This window comes from Homo sapiens, chromosome 1 (genome assembly GCF_000001405.40).
Source record: "Homo sapiens chromosome 1, GRCh38.p14 Primary Assembly".
In the NCBI taxonomy this organism is placed as follows: domain Eukaryota; kingdom Metazoa; phylum Chordata; class Mammalia; order Primates; family Hominidae; genus Homo; species Homo sapiens.
This window is the reverse complement of record NC_000001.11, coordinates 8,078,505-8,106,238: the sequence shown is the minus strand read 5'-3', so window position 1 is coordinate 8,106,238 and position 27,734 is coordinate 8,078,505. Positions and strand designations below refer to the sequence as shown.

Here is a 27,734-nt window from a genome sequence, read left to right as displayed (position 1 = left end):
AATTTTTTTTTTTTTGAGACGGAGTCTCATTCTGTCACCCAGACTAGAGTACAGTGATGCAATCTCTGCTCACTGCAACCTCCGACTCCCGGGTTCAAGCAATTCTTCTGCCTCAGCCTCCCAAGTGGCTTGGATTACAGGTGCCCGCCACCACACCTGGCTAATTTTTGTATTTTTATTAGAGACAGGGTTTCACCATGTTGGCCAGGCTGGTCTCAAACTCCTGACCTCAGGTGATCTGCCCACCTCGGCCTCCCGAAGTGCTGAGATTACAGGTGTGAGCCACCGTGCCCAGCCAAGGAAACCAAAGTTAAGAACAGAAACTCTGCACGGCCTGAGAGTCTTGGTTCAGGAAGAAAGAAAAGGTTTACATTTTAATAGCAAGGCCATTTTGGTGTTTGTCCTGAGAGCCAGAAAGACAAGTGATTTGCTAAAATTGTTCGTTTATTCATTGGTTCACCCAATATACATTCAATAGCATGAAAATATACTTTGTTTCCAACACACCTGCAGATGGTCCCCAGCATGGTCTGACTTGGTTACTATGACCTACGGATCTCCTTCCTGGGTTATAATCAACACCTCAGACAGCATCCTCCTCCTAAATATAGTTTAAATTATATTACCTTAAATATAGGTTCCCTATGCTCATCCACATGATGCTCATTAATATTTATCCAGTCACTCATGCTTCCCTTGCAACTGGTCCCCATGACCTGGAAATTTGAAGCAACCACAGCCATATTGCTTTTTGCAGACTGTTTATTTGGTGATCAAAACAAGTGTGTAGCACATTATGGGTCCTCAATAAACATTGAAATAATAACAGATTCCATCCTTAATAATCACTGGCTTCAAAAAATTAATGAAGCAGTTGCCTTCATACCTCCATATGGTCAATAGAAACTGTGATTACTTGCTGCCACGACCTCTATCTGCAAATGACACTATGGAGTTAGATGATTGGGAACACGTGTCTCAGCTTTGTGTCAAGGTTTGACTTCAGGCACGCCAAGGTGTGTCTTAAAAGGTAGATCAAGTGGCCTGGCACGGTGGCTCATGCCTGTAGTCCTAGCACTTTGGGAGGCCTAGGCGGGAGGAATGGTTGAGCCCAGGAGCTCGAGACCAGCCTGGGCAACGTGGCAAAACCCCATCTCTACCAAAATACAAACATCAGCCAGGCATGGTGGCTCGTGCCTGTGATCCCAGCTACGCAGAGTGGGAGAATCTCTTGAGCCAAGGAGGTTAAGGCTGCAGTGAGCCGCGATGGCACCACTCACTGTACTCCAGCCTGAGTGGCAGAGCAAGACCTTATGTCCAAAAAAAAAAAGGTAAACCACTGGATGCAGGAAGTAGGGCTCTCTGTTGACCTGAGGGCTCTAGGCAATGTCTTAATCTCAGTCTTGTCAGCTTTGACTTTTGTCCCTAGTGAAAGGGCTTGTGTTTCCTCTTTCTGTCTAAGGGGAATTCTCCTTACCTAACATGCTGTTTCTCCCCAGCCCGTGCACTTCCTTATTCTGCAGCCCCTTCTAAACTCTGGGCGAATGGCAATGATTGGAGCAGAAGATGGGGATAATGACGTCACCAGATGGGAGTCATTTGCTGAAGCTGGGACTCATGTGGGGTTAGGGGGCGGCAATATGGCAAGGAGCAAGGCTGCCATGCATTACAAAAAATCATTATAATGGCCCCTCAAAAAAATTTGAATAGATGAGCCTTGTAGACATTATGCTAAGTGAGATAAGGCAGTCACAAAAAGACAGTCACTGTATGATTCCACCTACATGAGGTACCGAGAACAGCCAAATGAATAGAGACAGAAAGTAGAATGGTGGTTGCCAGCGGCTGCAGAAGAGGGAGTGGGGGGTTGTTTAATGGGCACACAGTTTCAATCACGCAAGATGAGAAAAGTTCTGGAGGTTTAAACTCAACCTCATTAAGGTATAATTTACATACCATAAAATGTATAAACTTTAAGTATGCAACGTGAGTTTCGACAGATGAATATGTACACCCATGTAACCATCATCACGATTAAGCTATAGAATATTTCTGGCTGAGCACAGTGGCTCACGCCTGTAATCCCAGCACTTTGGGAGGCTGAGGCAGATGGATCACCTGAGGTCAGGAGCTTGAGACCAGCCTGGACAACATGGTGAAACCCCATCTCTACTAAAAATTAAAAAATTAGCGGAGTGTGGTGGTGCATGCCTGTAGTCCCAGCTACTCGGGAGGCTGAGGCAGGAGAATCACTTGAATCCGGGAGGCAGAGGTTGCAGTGAGCTAGATTGTGCCACTGCACTCCAGCCTGGGCAACAGAGTGAGACTCCGTCTCAAAAAAAAAAAAAAACCCACCCACACACAAAAAAAACAGATAAAGGACATTTCTATCACCCTAAAAGGTTCCCTTACGTCCCTGCCTGGTAAATCTGGACCAACCCCTCCTGGCCCAAGGCAACCAGAGACCTGTCTTCTAGATTTGCTTTTTTTTTTTTTTTTTTTTTTTTGAGACAGAGTCTCACTCTGTTATCCAGGCTGGAGTGTGGAGACACGATCTGAGCTCACTGCAACCTCCACCTCCCGTGTTCAAGTGATTCTCCTGCCTCAGCCTCCCAAGTAGCTGGGATTACAGGCACCCATCACCACGCCCGATTAATTTGTGTATTTTTAGTAGAGACAGGGTTTTACCATGTTGGCCAGGCTGGTCTCGAACTCCTGACCTCAGGTGATCCATCTGCCTTGGCCTCCCAAAGTGGTGGGATTACAGACGTGAGCCACCACACCCGGCCCTAGATTCACTTTGTCTTTCCTAGAGTTTCATATAAATAGAATCATACAGTAGATACCCTGGCTTCTTTCACTGGGCATGTTTTTAAAATCCATCCATATGAATCATTAATTTGTTCCTTTGTATTTCAAAATAATCTCATTTTTATAGACATGTCACAATGTATTCATTCACTGTGGATGGGCATTTGGGTTGTTTCTGGTTCTTTGACAATTATTATGAATAAAGACTCAATGTCTTTATTGGTAAATGTCTTTATGTGAGCCTGTGCTATCACTTCTCTTGAATAAATGCCTAGGAGTGGAATAAAGTCACATATATAACTTCATAAGAAATGGTGGAGCTGTTATCCAGAGCGGTCTTACCATGTTGAATGACGACCGTAAACATACGATAGTTCCAGGTGTTCCACATTCTCACCAGCACTTGGTATTGTCATGTTCTTAAATTTTAGCCTTCCAATGGGGTTTTAGTTTGTATTTCCCTGATATCTAATGATATGGGGCATCTTTTCATGAGCTTGCTGTACTGAAAATACTGTCTCCCAGTCTGTGACCTGCCTTGTCATTTTCTTAACAGTGTCTTGCCAAAATCAAAAGTTTTTAACTTTGAAGTCTATTTTCAATTCTTTTATAGTTCATACTTTTTATATCTAGCTGAGAAATCTTTGCCTATTCCAAGGTTACAAAGATTTTTCTCCTATATATTCATCTCTAAGTTTTATGTTAAGGTGTATGATCCATTTCAAGCTAGTTTTATGTAAGGTATGAGATAAACATCGGGGCTCCTGTTTTCCACGGAGATGTCCAGTTTTTCCTGCATAATTTGTTGAAAAGACTGTCTTTCCCCTCAACTGAATTATCCTGGCTACTTTGTCAAATATCAATTTACTAGGTATATGTGGGTCTGTTTTCACTTTTCTGTTCTATTGAGCTGTCTATTTGTGTAGTGATACCACACCGTCTTAATTACCGAAGCTGAATATTAAATCCAGAAATCAGGTAATATGAATTTTCCAATGTTGTTCTTTATTTTCAAAATAAGTTTATTGGGTTCTTTGTGGGCTCTTTTTGTTTCCACATCAATTTTAAGAGCAGTTTACCATTTGCTACAAAAGCTTTGCTAAAATTTTACTTGGCATTGCATGGTCTCTACAAATTAATTTGGAGATAATTGACATTTAAAAAAATATTGAGTCTTCCCATCCACAGCATGGTCTAGCTACCTATTTATTTCTATATTTTAAATTTTCTCTTAGCAGTATTTTAGAGTTTTCTATAGATTGGTTTTATTCTTATTTTCTTAAGATTATCCCTAAGTACTTCATGATTTTTGAAGCTATTGTAAGTGGTATTTTTATCTGAATTTTCAATTGTTTGAAAATTGAAAAATTCAATTCTCAATTGAATTTCAATTTGTTACTATTACATATAGAAATTTAACTATTTTTTGCAATTGTATATAGAAATTTCAATTAATATTGACCTTGTATCCTTCAACCTTAAAAAACTCACTCTTTATAGCTAATAACATGTTTTGTTTTGTTTTGATTTTGGTAGATTCCTTTGGATTTTTTATGTTCAAGATTATGTTGCTTGTGAGTAAAAATAGTTTTACATCTTTCCAATATGTGTGGGTTTTATTTATTTTTCTTGCTTTATTGCACGAATGAGGACCTCCAGTACATGTTGAATAGCAAAGGTGAGCGTGGACATCCTTGTCCTTTCCCAATCTCAGGGAAAAGCAGTGTTTCACTATTAAGGATATTGTTAGCTGTAGGGTTTTTTTGAAGCTGTCCTTCATTAGGTTGAGGCAGTTCCCTTTTATGACCAATTTGCTGAGAGTTTATGAGTGGGTATGAAATTTTTTCAGAAGTGTTTTCTTTTCGGGGGAACGGGGTACATCTACTGAGATACTGTGTAGAGAAGAGTTAACATGGCAGGGCTGGGACTGCTCTCCTTTGAAAGTCCTGTTTGCAGCCAGGTGCGGTGGCTCACACCTGTAATTCCAGCTCTTTGGGAGGCCAAGGAGGGCTGATCATTTGAAGTCAGGAGTTTGAGACCAGCCTGGCCAATGTGGTGGAACCCCATCTCTACTAAAAATACAAAAATTATCTGGGTGTGGTGGCAGGCGTCTGTAATCCCAGCTACTAGGGAGGCTGAGGCAGAAGAATCACTTGAAGCCGGAAGGCAGAGGTTGCAGTGAGCTGAGATCCCACCACTGAACTCCAGCCTGGGCAACAGAGTGAGACTCCATCACACACACAAAAATAATAATAATAATAATAATAATAATAATAATAAAATCAAAAATAAAGAAAGTCCTGTTTGCAAATGTTAGCCTTTGGCTGGCATCTGCGACTTAGATTTTAGGAGGGTTCCCGTTATTCCCAGGCCTCATGAGAGTCTCACGTTGCCTAACCTGTTTGGTACAAACCATGTGGTTTACGCTGAACACCTATTTTCCTTTTTTGAGGGGAGTCTGGAATTTTGGTATGTGCCATGCAAAGGTCGCCTATGTGACCAGCCCCTTGTGAAAACCCTGGGCTCCGAGTCTCTGCAAGTTTCTTAGAAGACAACATTTCACGCATGTCACAACTCATTGCTGAGGGAGTTCAGCACGAGGAAATGAATTTTGGAAACTCACACCAGACTTCACCCCAAGTGCCTTTTGACTTCGCTGGTTTTACTTTGTGTTCTTCCTCTGTGATAAATCTTAGCCATGAGCATGACTAGATCCTGAAGCCCGTGAGTCCTCTCTAGGAGGCGAATCTGGAGGAGGCCTTAGGGACCACCAACACAGATATCAGAAATTTTTTCTCCTTTATTCTGTGAGTTACATCAATTTAGTTTGAAAATTAAACCAATCTTGGGCAGGGTGCTGTGATTCATGCCTGTAATCCCAGCACTTTGGGAGGCCGAGGTGGGCAGATCACTTGAGGCCAGGAGTTCGAGACCAGCCTGACCAACATGGCGAAACCCCATCTCTACTAAAAATACAAAACTTAGCTGCGTGTCGTGGCGGGCACCTGTAATCCAGGCTACTCCAGAGGCTGAGACAGGAGAATCAATTGAACCCAGAAGGTGGAGGTTGCAGTGAGCCCAGATTGCGCCACTGCACTCCAGCCTGGGTGACAGAGTGAGACTCTGCCTCAAAAAAAAACAACAAATGGAAAATTAAATCTATCTTGAATTCCTGGAATACACCCTATATGGTATTAACCTCCATATATATATATATATATCTTTGGATTTGATTTGTTAATATGTTGTTATGGATTTTGCACCTATGATACTGGTCTATAATTTTCTTTATTATAATAATTTTGTCATGGTAATTCTGGCTTCATAAAATGAGTTAGAAAGTATTACTTCTCCCTCTATTTTCTGAAAATTTGCATATGATTGATGTTATTTCTTTCTTAAATATTTGATAAAATTCTCCATTGAAGCCATCTGGGCCTGGTATCTTTTTAGTCAGAAGTTTTTAAATTACAAATTTAATTTCTTTAATAGGCCGGGCGTGGTGGCTCATGCCTGTAATCCCAGCACTTTGGGAAGCCGAGGCGGGGGATCACTTGAGGCCATGAGTTTGAGACCAGCATGGGCAACATGGCAAAACCCCGTCTCTACTAAAAATACAAAAATTAGCCAGGCATGGTAGCAGGCACCTGTAATTCCAGCTACCTGGGAGGCTGAGGCAGGAGAATCGCTTGAACCCAGGAGGCAGAGGTTGCAGTGAGCTGAGATCATGCCACTGCACTCCAGCCTGGGTGACAGAGTGAGAATCTGTCTCAAAATAATAATAGTAACTAATAATAATTTCCTTAATAGATATAAGGCTACTAAGATTTTCTATTTCTTCTCAAATCAGTTTTAGTAATTTTTATCTTTCAAAGAAATTTTCTATTTCCTTTAAATTTTGAAATTTATTGGCATCAATTTATTCAAAATATCCCCTTATAATCTGTTTATGTCTGTAGGATCTATGGTGATGGCCTTTCATTCCTGATTTTGGTAATTTGTGTTTTTCCTCTTTTTTTTTTTCTTGATCAGTCTGGCTAGGGGGTATAACTTTTATTAATCTTTTCAAAGTACTAGCTATTGATTTTACTGATTTTTCTCTATTGTTTTATCATCTTCTCTTTCATTAGTTTTCACTCTTATCTTTATTTATGCTTATATTTGGTTTAATTTGCTCTTCTTTTTTTAGTCTCTTAAGGTAGGAGATTAGATCATTAATTTTAGACCTTTCTTTTTTTCCAATATATGTATTTAATGCTGCTATAAACTTTCCTCTAAGCACCACTTTAGCTGCATGTCACAAATTTAGATAAATTGTGTTTTCATTTTCATTCAGTTCAAATATTTTCTAATTTCCATTGTAATTTCTTCTTTGACTCATGAATTATTTAGAAATGTGTTGCTGGGCCGGGTGCAGTGGCTCATGCCTGTAATCCTAGCACTTTAGGAGGCTGAGGCTGGTGGATCACAAGGTCAGGAGTTCGAGACCAGCCTGGCCAATATGGTGAAACCCTGTCTGTACTAAAAATACCAAAAAAATTAGCCAGGCATGGTGGCACATGCCTGTAATCCCAGCTACTCTGGAGGCCGAGGCAGGAGAATTGCTTCAACCCAGGAGGTGGAGGTTTCAGTGAGCCAAGACCATGCCACTGCACTCCGGCCTGGGTGACAGAGAGAGACTCCATCTCAAAAAAAAAAAAAAAAAAAAGAAAAGAAAAGAACTGTGTTGCTTATTTTCCTAATTTGGGGGGATTTTTCAGAGATTTTTCTGTCCTTTGTTGTTGTTGTTTATTTGCTTAATTGTAGCTAAGTTCCAGATAGCAGGGAATTAGCAATAGTGACTGCAGTCCCTTGGCCAAAAGTTTCTCAGACACTTAAACTATTTACTTAGGTAACACATTTTTTTCATGGCTACTGCAAAGGTACATTTCAGACATATGTTTTGAATTAATTAAATCTCAAGATTAATGTTGAAATTTAATATTTAGTATTTTTACATTATATTAATGATTTTTAAGAACCATTGATTTTAAGTTAAACACTTGGGTTCTTGTGCTTTTTTAAATTTGCAGATTTCAGTTCTCATATTTAGATCATTAACTTTGAAACTAAAAATAAGATCTGAGTGGGTAAGCACAGAGGATTTTTAAGACGGTGAAACTATTCTGTATGATACTATAATGGTAGATAAGTGTTTTTATCCATTTGTCAAAATCCATAGAATGTACAACACCAAGAGTGAACTCTAATGTAAACTGTGGACTTCGGGTGATACTGATGTGCCAATGCGAGTTAATCAATTGCAGCAAATTTATCACTACGGTACAGCACACTGGCAGTGGGGAGTCTGTGCCTGCGTGGGCAGGGAGTATATGGGAACTCTCCATTCAATTTTGCTGTGAACCTAAAACTGCTCTAAAAAACAAAGCCTATTTTAAGAAGCAATAAGATCTCAGGCCTTTCAGAATGCCAGATTAATGTTTAAATGTTAAAAATGAAATACTCATTGCTGCTACTAAAATTACCTTAGTTTCTCTAATCCTCTAAGTTTTCAAGTGTGCCTTTTAAAAAAAACCCTTAAGCTTTAATAAGCTTTACCAGATGACAGTAAAATTACTTAGATTAAGCCTCCATGATTTTAGAAATGAAGCATTTTGAGGACTCAATCCAGTTCCTGGGAGATGAGTCAGCTAGTTAATTAATATGATCTTAAGGAAAAATGACCCGTCTTACTTCTCACTGACTGCATACCCTGCTGAGACTATATTAAGATTAGCATTACGAGTGCTGCACAGCTGCCTCTCCTATGAGTTCAACAGGAGCTTGGTAAATAATATCAGAACTGAGTCATTTATGGTTGAATGACACAGAATGAAAAATAAGTGCCTTTCAGGCAGTTCCTGTTGCCTAATATGGACTGAGAAGTAGACACTTTAACTAAAGAGCCCCACCTGTGCCCCAAATGAACCTTTCCCTATAAGGATGTTGATCTAATTTCCTGATCAAAAAAGGAATCCAAAAACGCTGTCAATGATCTGTCTGGGCCTGAACGAGGGCCTATTTTCTCTTCTCAAAGGCCTCGTGCATGGAAGTCTACCGAATTTCTTCCTTGAATAGTTGAGGGTGTTTTGTTGTAAAGATTTCCAGTTAAAGTGGCTCTTTCATCCTAGGGAGAGATCAGAATATCCAGCAGTCCTGCAGGTGGCTAGAGTTTATTGCATTGGGAAGCAGAAACAAGATAACTAAAAACAGAGAATCTGTATTTAAAACTTAGAAAACAGGACTGGTATTTTTATAAGATTTTTTTTTCATTACAACTATCCATTCTTCTGTGAATTAAAAGCCCAGGACACTGATGGCTCGTGGAATTGATGTCACTAGTCCCTAGGCCTTCTTACCTGATAGTAACAGTAAAATGGATATATAACATCGTTTTTCTTCATGGAGCAGAAAAAACTGAGGTTAAATGAAAGCTTTCAGGCGACTGAATTAAACTTGAAAAGCTATAAGGAAAGGGAGCCCTTTTCTAAGGAAGTGACAACAAATTCATAAACTGAATGACTCATAAACTGCTTTCAAATTGCAAAACTGATTATGAATCACTGAAGAAAAACGTAGTCTCACAAAATCTGGTTGTTTAGGAATCAAAAAAGGTAGCCTCTGCTGTTCATTGGCATATTGTCATTCACCATCCTGAAATAACCTTATGGTGAGTGATACTAAAATAGGTCAGTTTGTTAGAAATATTTGCTTAAAAGCCAGATTTGGCTCTAAATTTCTTTTGAATGAATCATAAGAATCTGGATGATAAAAAGAATTACGCTTAGAGAAATGTGCTAGAAACAGGCATTGGTTAAAGATATGGACGTTTCTTTTAGTAGAAACCTGTGTATTTCTGAATCCTTGAAAGAAGGATTGTGGTTGAATAACAATCTGATAAAGGATGAAGTGACCTTCACCATCCGGCCTGCCGATAAAGAGCGGGGAGATGTTCCAAAGTAATCCCACAAGGAGATTCATGATCTAAAAACCATTACCAATAGGTGGTATCTGTATTTCTCTGTTTAAGACTGGAAACTAACGGGTAACTCAAGAATGCTTCCAAGAAACGGTGGAGAATGTCCACTCAAAGATTTTAATCATTAACTTCAGAGCGACTCTAGGCTAACGCCCAGGTCCAGGAATAAGGGACAGAGGCCAATAGTAACACAGATTTTATATTTTTCAACTGGAAAGCTTGGAGATAGTACAGGTAGATACAAATAATATTGGAGTGTTGGAAATTTTCTTCATGTTCATGTAAGGATAGTTTTACTATCAGTTCTTAGGAAATTGGAATATAAATAAACAATAACAATTTATCTAGACCATGTAAACATTATGGATTTTTCAATTTGCCCTGAAAATCTCAGATTTGCTTGATAGATTTCATGTGGTAGCCTCATTAGACCCCAAAGTGGGAGTGGTGTATAAGAAGGGATTCTGAAACCTAAAGTCCTTCAGCGCTGAAGTCTATCTGGCAGGAGAATTTTAAGTTTCCTTGACTTCAGGGGTTAGGTAGGTTTTTTCCATAGGCATAGAGATGAGTCAATTTTAGGTGTTTTTTCCTCATGGGGCAGCTTTGATAGAGTGGAAGGCAGAGAATTTATGACTAGAAGACCTGGGGTTTTGATCCCTGTTCTGCCACTTACTAGTAGGAGGTTGGGGAGGTTATTTGACCTCTCCAAGACTCAGTTTCCTCATCTGTAAAATGGGGGTGATAAAACGATCTCACAAAGTTGTTGCGGTCACGGAATAAGGTAAGGTATGTGAGGGCATGTTATAGGAACCTCGTGAATGTTTAGCCGATATGAATCTTAGCAACTGGGAATCATTATTTTATGTTTCTAGTATCTGATAGTTAAAGTATTTTAAAAATCACAATTTTTTAGAGAAAATAAATAATTTCACCATTGTTACCAAGGATACTGGTCTCCAATACTGCATCTGTGAAGACTGCTTCCCACATCCACAAACAATGAAAAATCCTCATCTCCAGATCCTCCCATTTATCTTAGTAACTGTCTAATGTAAATCCAAAAGAGCAGAAACTATGTCTTCTTTGCACTTAAGACAATCTCCTCACCATAGTAAATACTCAACAAATACTTGAGACGTGTGTTTACAACAAGGCATTTTAAGGGATTCCAGTGTTTTTCTGCCTTCTTCACTTCGGCTCATTCCCTTGTGGAAAACATCGCTTGTGCTGACCAGAGGATGAGCTCTTGGCCCCTTCTGATTCACAGCCTTTTCCTGTGAACCACGGCTCTCAGCGCTAAAAGCAGGATGTCACGCTCATATTTGTTTTGCTTCTCCCCTCTCACCAGGAGTTTAAACCGACTTAGATTAAGAAACTCGAATCTCCGCCATGCTTTTTGATCTTTGGTTAAAGTTCAACGTGACAAGCACATTTGCTGCCCATGGGCACTTTGCCCTCTGATGTGGAGGAGCTCACCATGTCTCAGCAAGAAACACACAACACAACACACCTCACATTTGGGGATGGACGCGTCTCCCTAGGAGCCCTTGATGGCTCTGAAAGTTTGGTATCCAAACTTTTGGATTCCTTTCAAAGAAAAAAATCATCATGAAAGCTCTGCCAAGATTTGAAAAGTGAAGTGGATGGAGTGACTTCATCTTTGAATGCAAGAGGCAGATCACTGGGTGGAGTTAATAAGGGCAGAGGTGAGTCATGGAGTCCTGAGATGCAAATATAATTACAGCTCATTTAGAAATGAGCACGTATGTACATGACCTTTATTCTCCACCAAAGCTGCACGAGTGCTCACTTCCATGCTGACATGGACAGCCCGTGGAAATAAGGCCAAGCAGCAGGAACCAGACATCTGACCGTGTTGACGGAGATTAGATGGCTCCGAGTGGATGAGGCGTTGAGAAACCCTAGCTGCCATTTATCAGTTACATACCTGAAGAGTTCAAGATACGCAACTGGCAGGAGGGACCAGTTGGTCTCCACCATGCTGATGGTTAGAGTCTATAATGATTTGCCAGACTGAGGTTGCATCTCCCAGCTTCCCTGTTCCATGCCTCCACTTCCAGCCTCACGCTGACCCTGCAGCTTCCCTCTTCCTTCCCTTCAATAATCCCTGATATTTAGATTTTGCTTTTATGGCTCTTCAGGGTTTATACTGCTCAAACCGTGTTCATTTGCTTCCTTTGAAATGACATCTTCACCTGCCTCTCCTGTCATTTTCCCATCCATCCTGGTTCCTCACCTCTAACTTGCACTATCTCAAGAGTCTCCTCGTTTCTTGTCTCGTTTGCCCTTTGGTTTATCCTAGACCTCACTGCCAGATTTGTTGCCCCAAAATGCCCGTTGCTCAGAAATCTTTGATACTTTTCCACCACCTGCAGACTCCGCAACCTGACATTCAGACGTAAAACCTGCCCAATTCTACATCGTCAGAACTCTCTCCTGCTCCGGTCTACCTGATGGCCCCCCTGTAACACACCCATACCGTGTTCAGGGCTGGCTCTTGGCTCGTAATGTCTCCTCAGTCTCCTCTGTGTCAAATGAATGACCTGGCCTCCAAAGTCCAGTCCAGGTGGAGCCTCCCTGTGAGGCCTCACCAACAGTCTCCTAGCTTCTTATCCCCTCAATGTGAATGCACGGCTGCCTCCTGCTCAGATGCCAGTTCCTCCACAAAGCATCCCTATTCCTCCCAGCTGGAAGGGACCCCCGCCCCCTGACCTCTGCCACTTTCATGAATGCCCATGACACATATCACAAACTGCCTGATTGTATAGTTATTTCCCTGTTAGATTATAAACTCACTGGTGATAGGAGCCGTGTCTTACTCATCTTTTTATACCTTGCAGCGCCCAACACAGTATATTATCAAAAACTATCTGTTGGATGAATAAACAAAGCACTTAAAGCAACAGACTTTTTGTTTTTTTTTTTTTTTGGAGACAGAGTCTGCTCTGTCACTCAGGCTGGAGTGCAGGGGCGCGATCATAGTTCACTGCAGCCTCCACCTTCCAGGGTCAAGCACTCCTCCTGCCTCAGCCTCCTGAGTAGCTAGGACTAGAGGTGCATGCCACCATGCCCAGTTAACTTTGTTTTCTTCTTGGAAAAAAAAATATATTTTGTAGAGATGGGGTCTTGCCATGTTGCTCAGGCTGGTCTCAAATTCCTGGCCTCAAGCAATTCTCCATGGCCTCTCAAAGTGCTAGGATTACAGGCATGAGCCACCTCTCCTGGCTCGCAATAGACATCTTAACCCCAACTGATAGATGACCTTGAATGCTCTCTCCTTAGTCAATGACACGCTGTCATCCCAGTCTGATCAGCCTGTGTCTTTCAAAAGATCCACCACGGTCCACCTCATTATTCATCCAAAGTTGTGCCACTTTATGTGACACTTCAGTTTTGTTTGACAAATTAGTGTGTAATAAGGATAATAAATGTCACACATTTCAGTACACCTGTGATTACACATGGCAGACGTATCAGAGGTCAACCTCGCTAGCCTCTTGAACAGGCTGCTCAAAAATATAAAGTCTTTGAGTCAGCTGCAGCAGCTGAGTATGAACGGGGTGGAAAGACGGCACGTGCGGTCACACCAGATTCTGGGGCCAGTAAGTGATTTACGTTACACACACTCTCTTTTGTCCTCACCCTTCTAATATGCCCAACCTTTTACAAACAGCATGACGAAATCCCTGTTCACATCCATCAAAATGTCCTGAAATTAAATGTCATCCTCCTCACCACTCATGTCTTTCCAACTTCACGCCACCATCTCCTCCCGGTCGCCCACAGTTTTCCTGTCCATGAACCTTTTTTGGTGCTGAAATGCCATGTGTTTCTTTCAGTAGCGACACTAGTGTTGTCACTACCACAGTTGTCTGTCATGCCTATGTCAAAGACACTCAGAGTACTTTATGGCCCTCGGGTCATTACCATGTTATTAATTGACATAATAATTCCATAATGTAATTAACAAACATACTCTCCACGGAGGAAACTAAAGCTCAGAAAGATTAAGTAACCAGCCCCAGGATATTACAAGGTCAACATCAGGACCAAGACTGGAAATAAGGTCTTTTTTTTTTTTTTTTTTTCTGAGACAGAGTCTTGCTCTGTTGCCCAAGCTAAAGTCCAGTGAGTCAATCTTGGCTCACTACAACCTCCACCTCCTGGGTTCAAGTGATTCTCCTGCCTCAAGCCTCCCGAGTAGCTGTGACCACAGGCATGCGCCACCACCCCTGGCTGATTTTTGTATTTTTAGTAGAGACAGGGTTTCACGATGTTGGCCAGCCTGGTCTTGAACTCCTGGCCTCAAGCGATTTACCTGCCTCACCTCCCAAAGTGCTGGGCTAGCAAGCCTGGCCAAAAATAAGGTCTTCTAATTCAGTGCTAGATTTGGAAGGCCATGCTCTTATCTTTCCCTGTGGCGTGCTCTGAAGGATGCAACAAGAAACCACAAGCAGGGCACCAAAAAAAAAAAAAGCTATCTTCCAAAAATAACAGACATTTAATCCCCAGCTAGTCCATTCTCTGAACAATTGCCATTCATCCTTATTTTTTCTTGCCTGGGGAGAATTGACCTGTCTCTCAACATTGGGAATGGCCTCTGCCTTCTCCAGAGGAACTTGTGTGCTTCAGCCTCCAGTCCATGAGAGTCTCTCAACTGCTCTCTCTGCTTTGGGTGCTAAGACATAAATCAGATTATGTCATGTCTTAGCCCAAAACCCTCCAATGAAGCCAGGCGTGGTGGCTCATGCCTGTAATCCCAGCACTTTGGAAGGCCAAGGCAGGCGGATCTCTTGAGACCAGGCTAGGCAATATGGCCAAACCCCATCTCTGCAAAAAAATACAAAAAGAAAACTAGCCAGGCTAGGTGGTGCACATCTGTAGTAGGTGGGAGGATCACCTGAGCCCAGGAGGTTGAGGCTGCAGTGAGCCGTCATCGTGCCACTGCACTCCAGCCCAGGTGATAGAGTGAGACCTGGTCTCAAACAACAAAAGCCCTCAATGGCTTCCCCTGTCACTCAAAGTAAAAGCCAAAGTCATTATGGTGCAGTTTTCTCTGATGTGGCCCCTGACCCCCTCTCTGTTCCTGTCCCCTCCTGCGCTCCCCCGTGTTCACCACATTCCAGTTGTGCATTTGTGCTCACAGGCACACTTGGCCATGGTGCCTTTGCACGTGCTCTTCCTTTTGCCTGGAATGTTCTCCCCCAGATGTCCACGTTACTCACAGATTATTGAGGTCATTAATCATATGTCACCTTCCCAGTGACACCTTCCTGGATCACCCCATTTACTATTTCTTTTTCCTTTTTTTTTTTTTTTTGAGACAGAGTCTCACTCTGTCACCCAGGCTGGAGTGCAATGGTGCAATCTCAGCTCACTGCAACTTCTGCCTCCTGGATTCAAGTGATTCTCCCGCCTCAACCTCCCGAGTAGCTGGGATTACAGGCATGGGCCACCATACCTGGCTAATTTTTGTATTTTTAGTAGAGATGGGGTTTTGCCGTGATGACCAGGCTGGTCTTGAACTCCTGGACTCAAGTGATCTGCTTGCCTCAGTCTCCCAAAGTGCTGGGATTACAGGCATGGGCCACTGTGCCCGGCCCCCATTTACTATTTTGATCTCCCTGCTGCCTCTACCCCAGCTTGTTCAAGATCCTGTTCTTACCTAATTTTTTCCCCTAGTCCTTGACATTCCCAACGTATTTTACTAATTTGTCTTGTTTGCTATCCCTACCCAGTACAGCAGGCCAGTGATCACAGAGGGATAGAAACACACATCTTTGGGACAGAGGAAGGGAGTACTATACACAATAGTGACTAATGCTATCATAAACTGTGCTCAATTGCTTTTTATACTACTGCTAAGAGCCATTACAAAGTCACTTGTGGTTTGAATTGCTTTAAAATTCAGAATACTATTAATTTCCGGTGAATAATTCCAAGAAACATGGTACTTGGGGAAGAATTAAGATGTTTTCAGAACAGCACAAAAAGCTGCCTGATGTGGATCTGGAGTAAAAGATTATGCTGCTGAAGTCATTTTCCTGTTGAGTAAACCACAGCAGGCAAGTCAGTGGATATTTTGAGATTTACTGTACTCTGATTCATTCAAAATGAGATTCCACATGATAATATGTTTCTTTAAAGTGTTCTGGAAGAAAGTCCTTTCCATTCCAGTTCATTTTTTTTAAAGCATTTATCATTTCCAGGTTTAGAAATTACGGGATTATACCAAAAAGTTTTCTTACGGGTTACTCAATAAGATTAAAAAGAGTGAGAGAATTAAAATGGACAAATGTATTCAGCTAAATTCAGCATTCATCAAATACCTGAGCAAATGATTTCACCACCCTTGGCTTTGTTTTGTGCACATGTAAGAGGTCAAGGAAGCAGTCACCTTATACAGAGGCTGACTGTATGAGCCCCTCTCTCCCCCATGAAGTCAAGGTGCGTCGGGGACAGAACTCAGCTGCCGGGAGACTTGGCCCCAAATTGACCAGAATTGTTCCCTGATACCAAGATTCATTGGTGGAAGAGCTCCCGGGTCCATGTGAGGATCCATTTTGTTCTCGCTCATTCTCTGCTTCTACTTACATTGTTCATAACCCCAAGCCCACAGGACAGCTGCAAAACCCATGGTACAGTTTTACCATCAGAACTACCAGCCTCGAATGTCCCTGCCCTTCTCACAAGATTCAGAGGAAACCCAGGAGATGATGACTAAGATTTTTCACAGAAAAGTCTGTCTCAGATGGCATCCTAATGCACTAAAACACCCACGAAGCAGCCTCTGTCCTCCTCATGCCTGTATTCCCAGACGCCTACCACTGTAACAGGCATATAAGAAATGTTCAAGAAATGGTTACTAAATGAAAGCTTTTGTTAAATTCATTTCTTAACGTTCAGTATCTTAAAGGACATTTTGTCTATCTGCATAGAGAGAGTCTAATAGTGTTTAGCACTGAGCTCTTTTGAAAGAGAAGCACTATCTATGTATCTATCTATCATCTATCTATCTATCTATCTATGTATCTATCTATCTATGTATCTATGTATCTATCTATCATCTATCTATCTGTCTATCTATCTATCTATCTATCTATCTATCTATCTATCTATCTATCGATCTATCTATCTGTCTATCATCTATCTATCGGCAAAAGGCAATATGGGCCAGGTGCAGTGACTCACACCTGTAATCCCAGCACTTTGGGAGGCCAAGGTGGGAGGGTCACTTGAGCCCAGGAGTTTAAGCCCAGCCTGGGCAACATGGTGAAACCCTACCTCTACAAAAACAAACAAACAAAAACAAAAGGCAATATGTTTAAAGCTGAATTATTTTAAATAATTTAAAATATATGTACCATGGTCACTGGAACACCAGAATAATCTGAAGCATCAGGTGAAAAAACGACTAACTGCACATAAATGGAAATGCTTCGCTTTTCAAGCCTGCATTTCAAAAATGGATTAACAATAAACTGTACTATATTCATGCACTGAAACGCCATACAGCAATGCAGGGGATGGACTATTGGTGCACAGCAAAATGAGAATGCGCTGAGGGGCCGGGCGTGATGGCTCACGCCTGTAATCCCAGCACTTTGGGAGGCCGAGGCGGGTGCATCACCTGAGGTCAGGAGTTTGAGACCAGCCTGGCCAACATGGCAAAACCCCGTCTCTACTAAAAATACAAAAACTAGCCAGGTGTGGTGGCACCTGCCTGTAATCTCAGCTACTTGGGAGGCTGAGAAAGGAAAATCGCTTGAACCCGGGAGGCAGAGGTTGCAGTGAGTCGAGATCATGCCACTGCACTCCAACCTAGGGGATAGAGCACGACTCTGCCTCCCAAAAAAAAAAAAAAAAAAAAAAAAAAAAATTATGCTGAGTGAACAGGGCTTTCCACAAATGAGTACAAATTGTATGATTCTATTTATGTGAAGTTCTTGAAGAGGCAAAACTAGTCTGTGGTAGAAAAACATTAGAACACCAGTTATCCTGGGAGCTGGAACAGGGATGATCTGGGAGGGGCAGGGGAGAACTTCATGAAGTTAGGGTGATGTTGTACATCTCTTCTTTTTTTTCCCCTTTTCTTTTTTTTTGAGACAGAATTTTGCTCCTGTCACCCAGGCTGGAGTGCAATGGCACGATTTCAGCTCACTGCAAACTCCACCTCCCAGGTTCAAGTGATTCTCCTGCCTCAGCCTCCCAAGTAGCTGGGATTACAAGTGCATGCTGCCATGCCCAGTTAATTTTTGTATTTTTAGTAGAGACGGGGTTTTGCCATGGTGGCCAGGCTGGTCTCAAACTCCTGACCGCAAGTGATCCACCCGTCTCCGCCTCCCAAACATCTTATTAGGTGTTGTTAGGGGTTTCCATTACAAAAGCATATACATTAGTGAAAATTAATCTGAAGATACACTTAAGAGTTATGCATTTTATTGCATACAAATTTTTCCTCAAAAACATAACCATACACAAATATTTCATTCTAGTTAACAATAGGTGTGTTGAAGTGTTCAGGGACAAAGTGTACTGACCACTGCAACTTACTGTGAAGCACATCCAAAAAAAGATGGAGTCATGTAAAAAAAAGAAAGGAATCCATAAAAATGCTCGTGGATCGTCCTGGCTAACAGGGTGAAACCCCGTCTCCGCTAAAAAAAAGAAATACAAAATAACCCAGCGTGGTGGCGGGCGCCTGTAGTCCTAGCTACTCGGGAGGCTGAGGCAGGAGAATGGCGTGAACCGGGGAGGAGGAGCTTGCAGTGAGCCGAGATCACACCACTGCACTTCAGCCTGGGCGACAGAGCGAGACTCTGTCTCAAAAAAAAAAAAAATGCTCATGGATCAGCTAATTTGTGTAAAAGAAATCTAGAAAGGATAAACTAGAGGCCCAGCATGGTGACTCATGCCTGTAATGCCAGCACTTTGGGAGGCCGAGATGGACAGATCACCTGAGGTCAGGAGTTCAGGACCAGCCTGGACAACATGGCAAAATCCCATCTCTACTAAAAATACAAAAATCAGTCAGGCATTGTGGTGGCAGGCACCTATAATTCCAGCTGCTCAGTAGGCTGAGGCAGGAGAATTGCTTGAACCCAGGAGGTGGAGGTTGCAGTGAGCCAAGATGGAATCACTGCACTCCAGCCTGGGAGACAGAGCAAGACTCTGAAAAAAAAAAAAAAAAAAGGAAGGAAGGAAGAAAGAAAGAAAGGGGATTGGTTACCAGGAAGAATAGAGGAAAGAGGTGGAAAGAATGGGGAAAAGGCAGGAGGGAGGAAAGGAGGGGTGCGACACTTCTCAGAATACACATTTCTGCATAACTCTGACTTTAGAATCCTGGTAATGTTTCACATATCACTTTCCCCCACCAAAAAGTAAATATAAATATTAAAATCAACCGAGTTGTGGAGGAAACTCAACATGAAATACCAACAGTGACAAAGGAACCTAACTGTATTGCAAATGAATACCGTACCTCCACACTGAGGAGGACAGGGAAGAAAGGAACTATCCTGCCTAACTGTGGAAAACAGTATTTTGGATATATTCTATAATGCGGAAGACCAAAAGGACTGTATACAAATATTGTACTCTAGTTAGTAAACTTGTTTCTCACAAAAGTATGGATGAGCAATTCTGAAATGACTTTATATGTACACTGGGATTGAACAAATCAAATAAACTATGGCTAATGAGAGCCACGGTGTTCACTGCTGGAGACAGAAGTTATTAAGAAGGAAAGGAGTAAAATGAAAATGAGCCCTATGGTTTGAACTGGACCCACAGGTATCAGTATAAACTCATGATTTATATGTATACACATGCACTGATAGGTAAATATGGACATAAATATAGATATGTGTACAGATGTGGATAGATGTTAATGAACTTACATACATTTCCTAGCTGTGTAAATACAGACGTGTATAGATGTGGGTAGGTGTTAATAAACTTACACACATTTCCTAGCTCTATCTACTGAGAAGACCTAAAAGCAATGACACCCTCATAGCAATAAACACACCTACTGTCCAGATCTTGGTTTCTAAACATCATTCTCCAATAAAAGTACCCAGAGCTCCCTAGAGAACATAAGGAGTCTGCAACATCTTGTGGTGCCAGAAAATAAGGAAGTAGTCAAAGCACCAAGGGACTCAGGAGGCAATGCAAAGGAGCTGCCCATGATGAAACGCAGACAACTGGAGCAACAAAATAATGACAATACTGGATTACAACCCAAAGAATAAAATAAATATCCATCTGAATATAAATAAATAATTGAATAAATAAATGAGGAAAAAGGGACACCTTCCTTAGTAGAATTTCAGCTAGTAAATGTAGAAAGAATGAGGGACACAGAAACTTGCCATGAGACAACCACAGAAATAAAGGCAAGATCTTCCAGTAGATGCTAAAATTAGCAAGTAAAAGTCTAAGGATAAAAAAAAAAGTATCTCCTCTAAAACATTTATTATTCACAAAGTGAAAAATTATAAATTGGGCTGGGTGCAGTGGCTCACACCTGTAATCCCAGCACTTTGGAAGGCCAAGGCGGGTGGATCACCTGAGGTCAGGAGTTTGAGACCAGCCTGGCGAACATGGTGAAACTCTGTCTCTACTAAAAACACAAAAATTAGCTGGGCATGATGGCGGGTGCCTGTAACCCCAGCTACTCGGGAAGCTGAGGTGGGAGAATCGCTAGAAACCGGGAGGTGGAAGTTGCAGTGAGCTGAAACCACGCCATTGCACTCCAGCCTGGGCAACAAGAGCGAAACTCCTTCAAAAAAAAAAAAAATTGTAAATTGGTAGTGGAGAAACCTGGCAGAGAACCCCTCAACTGAGTGATCCAACGCAGCATCAGTGTAATTAGAGTGACATTACTGTACTCTCTCCAATACGATGGACTCTGAGAAGAGCATAATATCACATCTGGTATTCTCATAAAATATGCATAACCTCAATCCCATTATGAGGAATCTTTAGACAAAACCAAATCAGGGGATGTTCAACAAAAGAGATGGCCAGTACACTTCAAAAGCTTTAATGTTATGGGAGAGAAAGGCTGAGAATGATCACATCAGAGGAGACTAAGGAGATACAATGGCTGAATGCAGTGTGGGCTCCTGGATGGAATCCTGCATCAGAAAAGGACACAAGTGTGAAAATTGATGAAATTCAAGTAAGATCTGTACGTTAGTGGATAGAGTTGTAGTAATGTGATTTTTCTGTCTTTGATCATTGTATTTTGGTTTTGTGAGACACTAATGTGAGGGGAAGCTGGGTGAAGGGTATTTGCGAACTCTGTGTTATTTTGCAACTTTTCTAAAAGTCTAAAATTATTTTAAAATAAAGAGTTTTCCAGCCTGGGCAACATGGCGAAACCTGGTCTCCATAAAAAAATACAAAAATTAGCCAGGCGTGGTGTGTGCCTGTAGTCCCAGGTACTCGGAAGGCTGAGACAGGAGGATCGCCTGAGCCTGGAAGGTGGTCAAAGCTGCAGTGAGCTCTAATCATGCCACTGTGCTCCAGCCTAGGCAACAGAGTAAGACCCTGTCTCAAAAATAAATACATTAAATGAAGAGTTTTTTAAAATAAGATGATTTATGGATAGATAGATGGATTATGTGATAAATAAATGTATGAAAATGCTAATTGTAGAATTTCAGTCGTGGACCTGCAGGTGTTGACTGGTACAATTCTTTCCGCTTTTCTGTATACTTGAAATGTGAAAAAAAAATGTTGAAAACATCCAATGAATACGCTAAATTTAACTTTGATTCTGGTAGTAATTTATTTATTTCCAATTGAACATAAAGAACTAGTGCGATCAGCAATTTGCAGGAGTAAAGAGGAATAAAGTGATCTTTGCTGATCTGCATGGCACAGGGAAGGAAAATCACATTCTGGAGTTAGGAACCAAAACAGTCAAATCCAAACAAGAGAGGTTCAAGGAAACAATTGCAAGAGAAAAGTACACAAAACCTTACAAGTAAACATGGTGTTGTTAAAAAGGATTATCACCCCTATGTTTAGATTCCCGAATACTCATGACACGGAATGCTCCTGATGTCCCTTTGTAGAGACAGTGACCCTATTAAGAAGCTCATGCTACCTCCCCCAGTCAAGGCCTGTTCCCGTGGGTACAGATCAGCCTTATCAGGCTACTGATTAGAAGAGGGAGGAGGTGGTGGAGTCAGCTAAGCCAGGGCTAGTGTAAGTTGGTACAGTTGCCTTATTTAATATTATTTCATTGCTAAATAAACTGATCTAATGAATCAGCTCCACTGTAAAATGATGTAACAAGCCATAAATCTGTACTGGTAACCTTTGGTGTTCTGTATGAATGTTCACACTGTAACCCACGTATTTATCATTGAGTGCGGGAAACCATGGGGTTGTAATGAAATACACACATGTTCCTTGGAGACTGAGAATCAGGGGATGAGGAAGTAAAAAACATGATCTTCATGCTCAAAAGATCAGGAAACGTCCTATGAGATAATTCAGAAAGCTTCTGGTTCCCAGTACAGAACAGGAAACGCCAAAGGTCCGATTCGGCCCTGAGAGGATATATGTTTAGGGGAAATTCCAAAACCTAGTCCTCCCAGGAACTCAGAAAGGAATCAGACCCAGAAGGTGGAGGCTTCATCAGCTGCTAAACTTATCTGGTTCTCCAAGTGAATCGTGAGTGCTTGAACACTTGATTGTAATACAGAAATCAGTTTCAGTGCTGGAGGAGAATTAAAAAATACTTTCACGGTGATGCATTTTCTTCTTTTAACTTGTAGAGTATAACACTTGGATATCTGGTCTAGACCTGATAAACCGTGTGTCTTGAGAAGGCAATCTGGTTCATCATCACAATGGGTTCAAAGACTGCTAGGACATTTCTCTGGGCCCCATCCTTTGCAAGCACGCCTCAAATTTGGTATGTGCTTTATTCTGTATATGAGAGGAATGCTTAGGGTTTCAGATGGAATCCTTAGAAGAGCATAATTCTAAATAATAATAATTTTTAAAAACAATAATAGCTAATATTCATTGTACACTTACAATGTACCAACCCCTGTAGCTGAGAAGTATTACTCAGTGAATAATGCTCACTTCTTCCCAGAGCTCACTGCTGCTGAACAGGACATGGAGCAGACCTCCTGTTTATTGCCAGTCCTAAGAGATAGGGTGATGACTACTGGGGATAGCTTTTGAACTTCCTCTGTGGCTTTTTTTTTTTTTTTTCTGGAAACACTGAAGGTTTGCCAAGGGTTGAACTGAAAACTATTCCAGCTGCATTTACCTCAAAATTGCCAAACAGGGCCACGGCTCCAGCCAGGACCATACTAGTCCTCTTTTTTTTTTTTTTTTTTTTTATTTAAAGACAGAGTCTCACTCTGTCACCCAGGCTGGAGTGAAGTGGCGTGATCTATCTCAGCTCACTGCAACCTCTGTCTCCCAGGTTCAATGATCCTCCTGCCTCAGCCTCCCTAGTAGCTAGGATTACAGGCATGTGCCACCACACCCAGCTAATTTTTTTTGTATTTTTAGTAGAGACGGAGTTTCACCATGTTGGCCAGGCTGGTCTTGAACTCCTGACCTCAAATGATCCACCTGCCTCAGCCTCCCGCTGGGATTACAGGCGTGACCCACCTCGCCCGGCCTGTATTATTCCTTTATAGTTCAACATGGCATGCCTAAATCACTCTCCTCCCTCCTATCTTCAAAGAATAGGCATTTTAGATAAGTACTTTTGTGACAAAACTGTACTCACGCAGCCTGGAAAAGAGTATGAGCCATCACAAGTGTATAAAGTCAGGGGTTCTGCAATAAGAATCTGACGTGTTAAAAGCAAGTTTCAGAGAATACCCCATCTAACAGATATTCCATAATGATATTTTAAGGAGGGGAGAGGCAGATGAACATTAATACTTTCAGATAATTTTTGAAAGGTCAATTCACTCTAATTCTTTTTCTGAATTAGGACAATAAACAAGCATGCTTGGTATAATAGACTTGACATACCATTTCTCACTGTCTTTGTTGCTAAAGTTTAAAAAAAGTGTACATTTTTCCATTTTTATCTTTTTTAAATTTTGAGACAGGGTCTTGTTGTGATGCCCAGGCTGGAGTGTAGTAGCATGATCATAGCTCACTGCAGCCTTAACTTCCTGGGCTCAAGTGATCCTCCCACCTCAGCCTCCTGAGTAGCTGGTAATATAGGTGTGCACCACCATGCCCAGCTAATTTTTGTACTTTTCGTAGAGACAGGGTCTTGCCATGTTTCCCAAGCTGACTATAGCTCAAGCAATCCACCCACCTTGGCCTCCCAAAGTGCTGGGATTACAGATGTGAGCCACCACACCCAGCCTAGGGTACGTTTTAGAAAATTGGTATGTTTTATTGGTATTCCTATGGCTGGACTACATTGTGAGTATAAAACACAAATTAATATGCCATTTGAAATAGACTTGTAGCTGGGCACGGTGGCTCACGCCTATAATCCTAGCACTTTGGGAGGCCGAGGCAGGTGAATTGCCTGAGCTCAGGAGTTCAAGACCAGCCTGGGCAACACAGTGAAACTCCGTCTCTACTAAAATACACAAAATTAGCTGGGCATAGTGACGTGCGTCTGTCATCCCAGCCACTCTGGAGGCTGAGACAGGAGAATTGCTAGAACCTGGGAGGCGGAGGTTGCAGTGAGCTGAGATCATCCCATTGCACTCCAGCCTGGGCAACAGAGCAAGACTCCGTCTCTAAAAAAAAAAAAGAAAGAAAGAAAGAAAGACAGACTTGTGTATATACCTAGTTCATGAGAAAATTATCAAGTTTTCCTAAGTCATAAAGCAAGTCTCTGGGTAGATCTATGCTCCTTCTCACCCTACTGCAACCAACCACTGATCCCAACAGTTGGGCAAACTACTTCACGAATCCAGGAGAAAGATGACTCCACAGTGCTCAAGATGTGTGCTTTGACATTTGAAGTTCAAAACTCCCTGACTCTCGTTTCCGAATATAAAATCAAAATATGGACCTTGCAAGGTGCTGTGAGGATTATGCAATGTTTCTGAGTACACACAAATAACTTACACATGATATATACACAAAAATGTTTCATCCTCTCCCGTGTTCTAAACAGCACTGTGGCCCTTCTATGAACCATCTCCCAGCTTCTTGCTTTTCCTCCAGAGCCTGGTGCTACCCCATTACTTAGGAGACCATGGCCTCACTCCAAGAACATATCTGAGCCCCATTTTGTGGATCAAGGCTTCAAATCTCAAATTCCCTCATTCCCACCTATAAATGTACCTACATAGCCATCAGCCCTTTCTTCTCAGAGGATCAGTGTTTCTGATTCCAAGACGTACATTTTCCCCACTTGCTCTTATTTCTTTGAGTCGTCTCTCTCCATTGCTCTTTCTCTTTGCCTATGAATGAACTCAAGTGTTCTCCACCTGAAGAAAAACCTTTGCGTCTTACCAACCTCTCTAAATCACTATGTTCCGTCTCTCCTTCCCTGCTACCATCTGGGGCTAATTTTACCTTCTGCATTGTTCTTGAATCCATCTGCTTCTCTTCACCTTCATTCCCAGGATCCCGGTTCAGGCTATCACTATCACCTGAACTCTTCTACTTTATTCCAAAATGCAAATGTTACACCATCTAACATTAGTGGTTACCTAATTATTCTTAGACCCAAATCCTTATGAAAGAGAAGACCCAGCATGGCCTCCTGCCACGATCACTTTTCTCACTGGCTCCACATTCACAAGGCTCAGCACCTGCTCTCCCTGTGACCTGGACTCTTCTGATCTCCGTCCCCCACCCCCACACCACCCCCCGACCACATCGTTCCTATTCACCCCTCGGGGCTGTGCTTACAGCCTCAGGGAGCCTTCTTTGACCCACAGATCATGGCATGCTCCTGTGCTATGCACCATGTTTCTCCCTGCGAAGTCTGACCCAGTTTGTGAGGATGTGCTTCCTTTGGGATCATTATTTCATCAATGCCTCTCTCTCCCACGAGACCCTAACATCTATGAGTGCAAAACCAAAGTCATCTTTGCCCACATTTATGTCTACAACAGATGTCACAGTGTCTGGCCCTTCTTAGGAACTCAGCAAACATTCACTCTTGTCAAATGTTAACCTCCAAGAAAGCAAAGTCTAGACTAGCTGTCCCTACTCCCTAATTCCCATCCTCTGCTTATCACTAATAACCTTCTAAAGGTCAACCTGGTGTGTTCTTTGAGTCCTATCCAACTTGAAGACACCATTCCCCCGGCTCCCCTCTTCTTACTCTTTCAATTCTGACTGCCCCCAACAAGTCTGCCCCAAGTCCTGACCTTCTTGCTCTTATCTTCTCATTCTATGACACCAATTTCTTTTTTTTCTTATTTTTTTGAGATGGAGTCTTGCTCTGTCGCCCAGGCTGGAATGCAGTGGCACAATCTCGGCTCACTACAAGCTCCACCTCCCGGGTTCACGCCATTCTCCTGCCTCAGCCTCCTGAGTAGCTGGGACTACAGGCCCCCGCCACCATGCCTGGCTAATTTTTTTGTATTTTTAGTAGAGACGGGGTTTCACCATGTTAGCCAGGATGGTCTCGATCTCCTGACCTCGTGATCCGCCCGCCTCGGCCTCCCAAAGTGCTGGGATTACAGGCGTGAGCCACCGCGCCTGGCCAATTCTATGACACCAATTTCTTAACCTTTGGAAACCACTAAGAATCTGATCACAAGTTAAGGATGCGCTCTATCATAGCACGCCAAATGGAAATGCACAGAAAATATTGCCTTTTTTCCCCCTCAGGCTGTTGTCGCCCTTTTGCCCAGGCTGGAGTGCAGTGGTGCGATGTTTACTCATTAGAACCTCCATCTCTTGAGTTCAAGCGATTCTCGTGCCTCAGCCTCCCAAGTAGCTGGGATTACAGGTGCACACCACTACACCCGGCTAATTTTTGTATTTTTAGTAGAGATGGGGTTTCACCATGTCGGCCAGGCTGGTCTCAAAGTCCCGACCTCAGGTGATCCACCCACCTCACCCTCCCAAAGTGCTGGGATTATAGGCATGAGCCACTGGGCCCAGCTGCTTCTAATTGCTGGTGGTTATGGAGCCCTGGACACCAGTCACCTAGGCCACAGCAGAGTCTAGTGAAGGACCTAACTGACTTGCACCATCACCCAGGCTGGTGCAGTGGCACGATCTTGGCTCACTGCAGCCTGCGCCTCTCAACCATCACCCCCTTTAAGCTGCCACCTTTGTCTGCTAAATCTTCATTTCTGCGCTGACGTCTCTTGAGCTCAAGGCCTGATTTCCCATGCAAATTTGCTCTCTCTTCCTAGATGTCTCACAAGCACTGTCAACAAAGAAACTTATTTATTTCCCCAAAGTTGCTGTTTTTACACTGTCTCTAGCTTGAGCTGTTGCCCCGAGCTCGGTAGCTGCTTTTAAAGAGGTCATCTTATTCAACCATGGAACCTCTATAAAGTCATCCAGGATCCTTCCCACAATGGAAAAACTTTATTTGCTCAATCTAATTTTCACATAGTTTTTCAAAATGCACTCAACATCTTTCCTGAGAACAAACCAATTCCAGAACAAAATAATTAATAACACTGACACACGTTGAAGAAAGGAACAAGGAAATCATTTGAACAGCTCCCCTCTCACCCTGCTCCAACCTTCCCACCACCAGGAACGGATGAAATGTGCTAAGGGACCAGTGAAGAAGCTGACGGTGTCCTCAGGATGAAATAGAGAGGGAAAGAAATGCTATTCATTCCACAAACATTCCAACCCCAGGAAGGCCCTCCTCCTGCATCTAGCCACGGTAATATCCCAATTATTCTCCAGAACAGCAACCAGGCTGGTTGGCCTCCTCTCC

General features: G+C 42.3%; 1 long non-coding RNA gene across 1 annotated transcript in view, besides 3 other annotated features; it reads right to left on the bottom strand.

Moving 5' to 3' along the window:
• ERRFI1-DT (ERRFI1 divergent transcript) overlaps positions 1-27,734 on the bottom strand; it is a 100,578-nt gene that overhangs the window by 20,832 nt on the left and 52,012 nt on the right. The window lies entirely within an intron of this gene.
• Positions 8,359-9,558: an enhancer, noted in NCBI's record as "P300/CBP strongly-dependent group 1 enhancer chr1:8156741-8157940 (GRCh37/hg19 assembly coordinates)". NCBI's record gives its function as "activates an origin of replication core promoter dependent on BRD2, BRD4, P300/CBP, MED14 and CDK7 cofactors, with strong dependence on P300/CBP, by STARR-seq in HCT116 cells {active_cell/tissue: HCT116}" and the evidence as "EXISTENCE:reporter gene assay evidence [ECO:0000049][PMID:35650434]".
• Positions 8,944-8,993: an enhancer, noted in NCBI's record as "active region_99". NCBI's record gives its function as "activates an Ori minimal core promoter by ATAC-STARR-seq in GM12878 lymphoblastoid cells {active_cell/tissue: GM12878}" and the evidence as "EXISTENCE:reporter gene assay evidence [ECO:0000049][PMID:35858748]".
• Positions 10,571-11,770: an enhancer, noted in NCBI's record as "BRD4-independent group 4 enhancer chr1:8154529-8155728 (GRCh37/hg19 assembly coordinates)". NCBI's record gives its function as "activates an origin of replication core promoter dependent on BRD2, P300/CBP, MED14 and CDK7 cofactors, and independent of BRD4, by STARR-seq in HCT116 cells {active_cell/tissue: HCT116}" and the evidence as "EXISTENCE:reporter gene assay evidence [ECO:0000049][PMID:35650434]".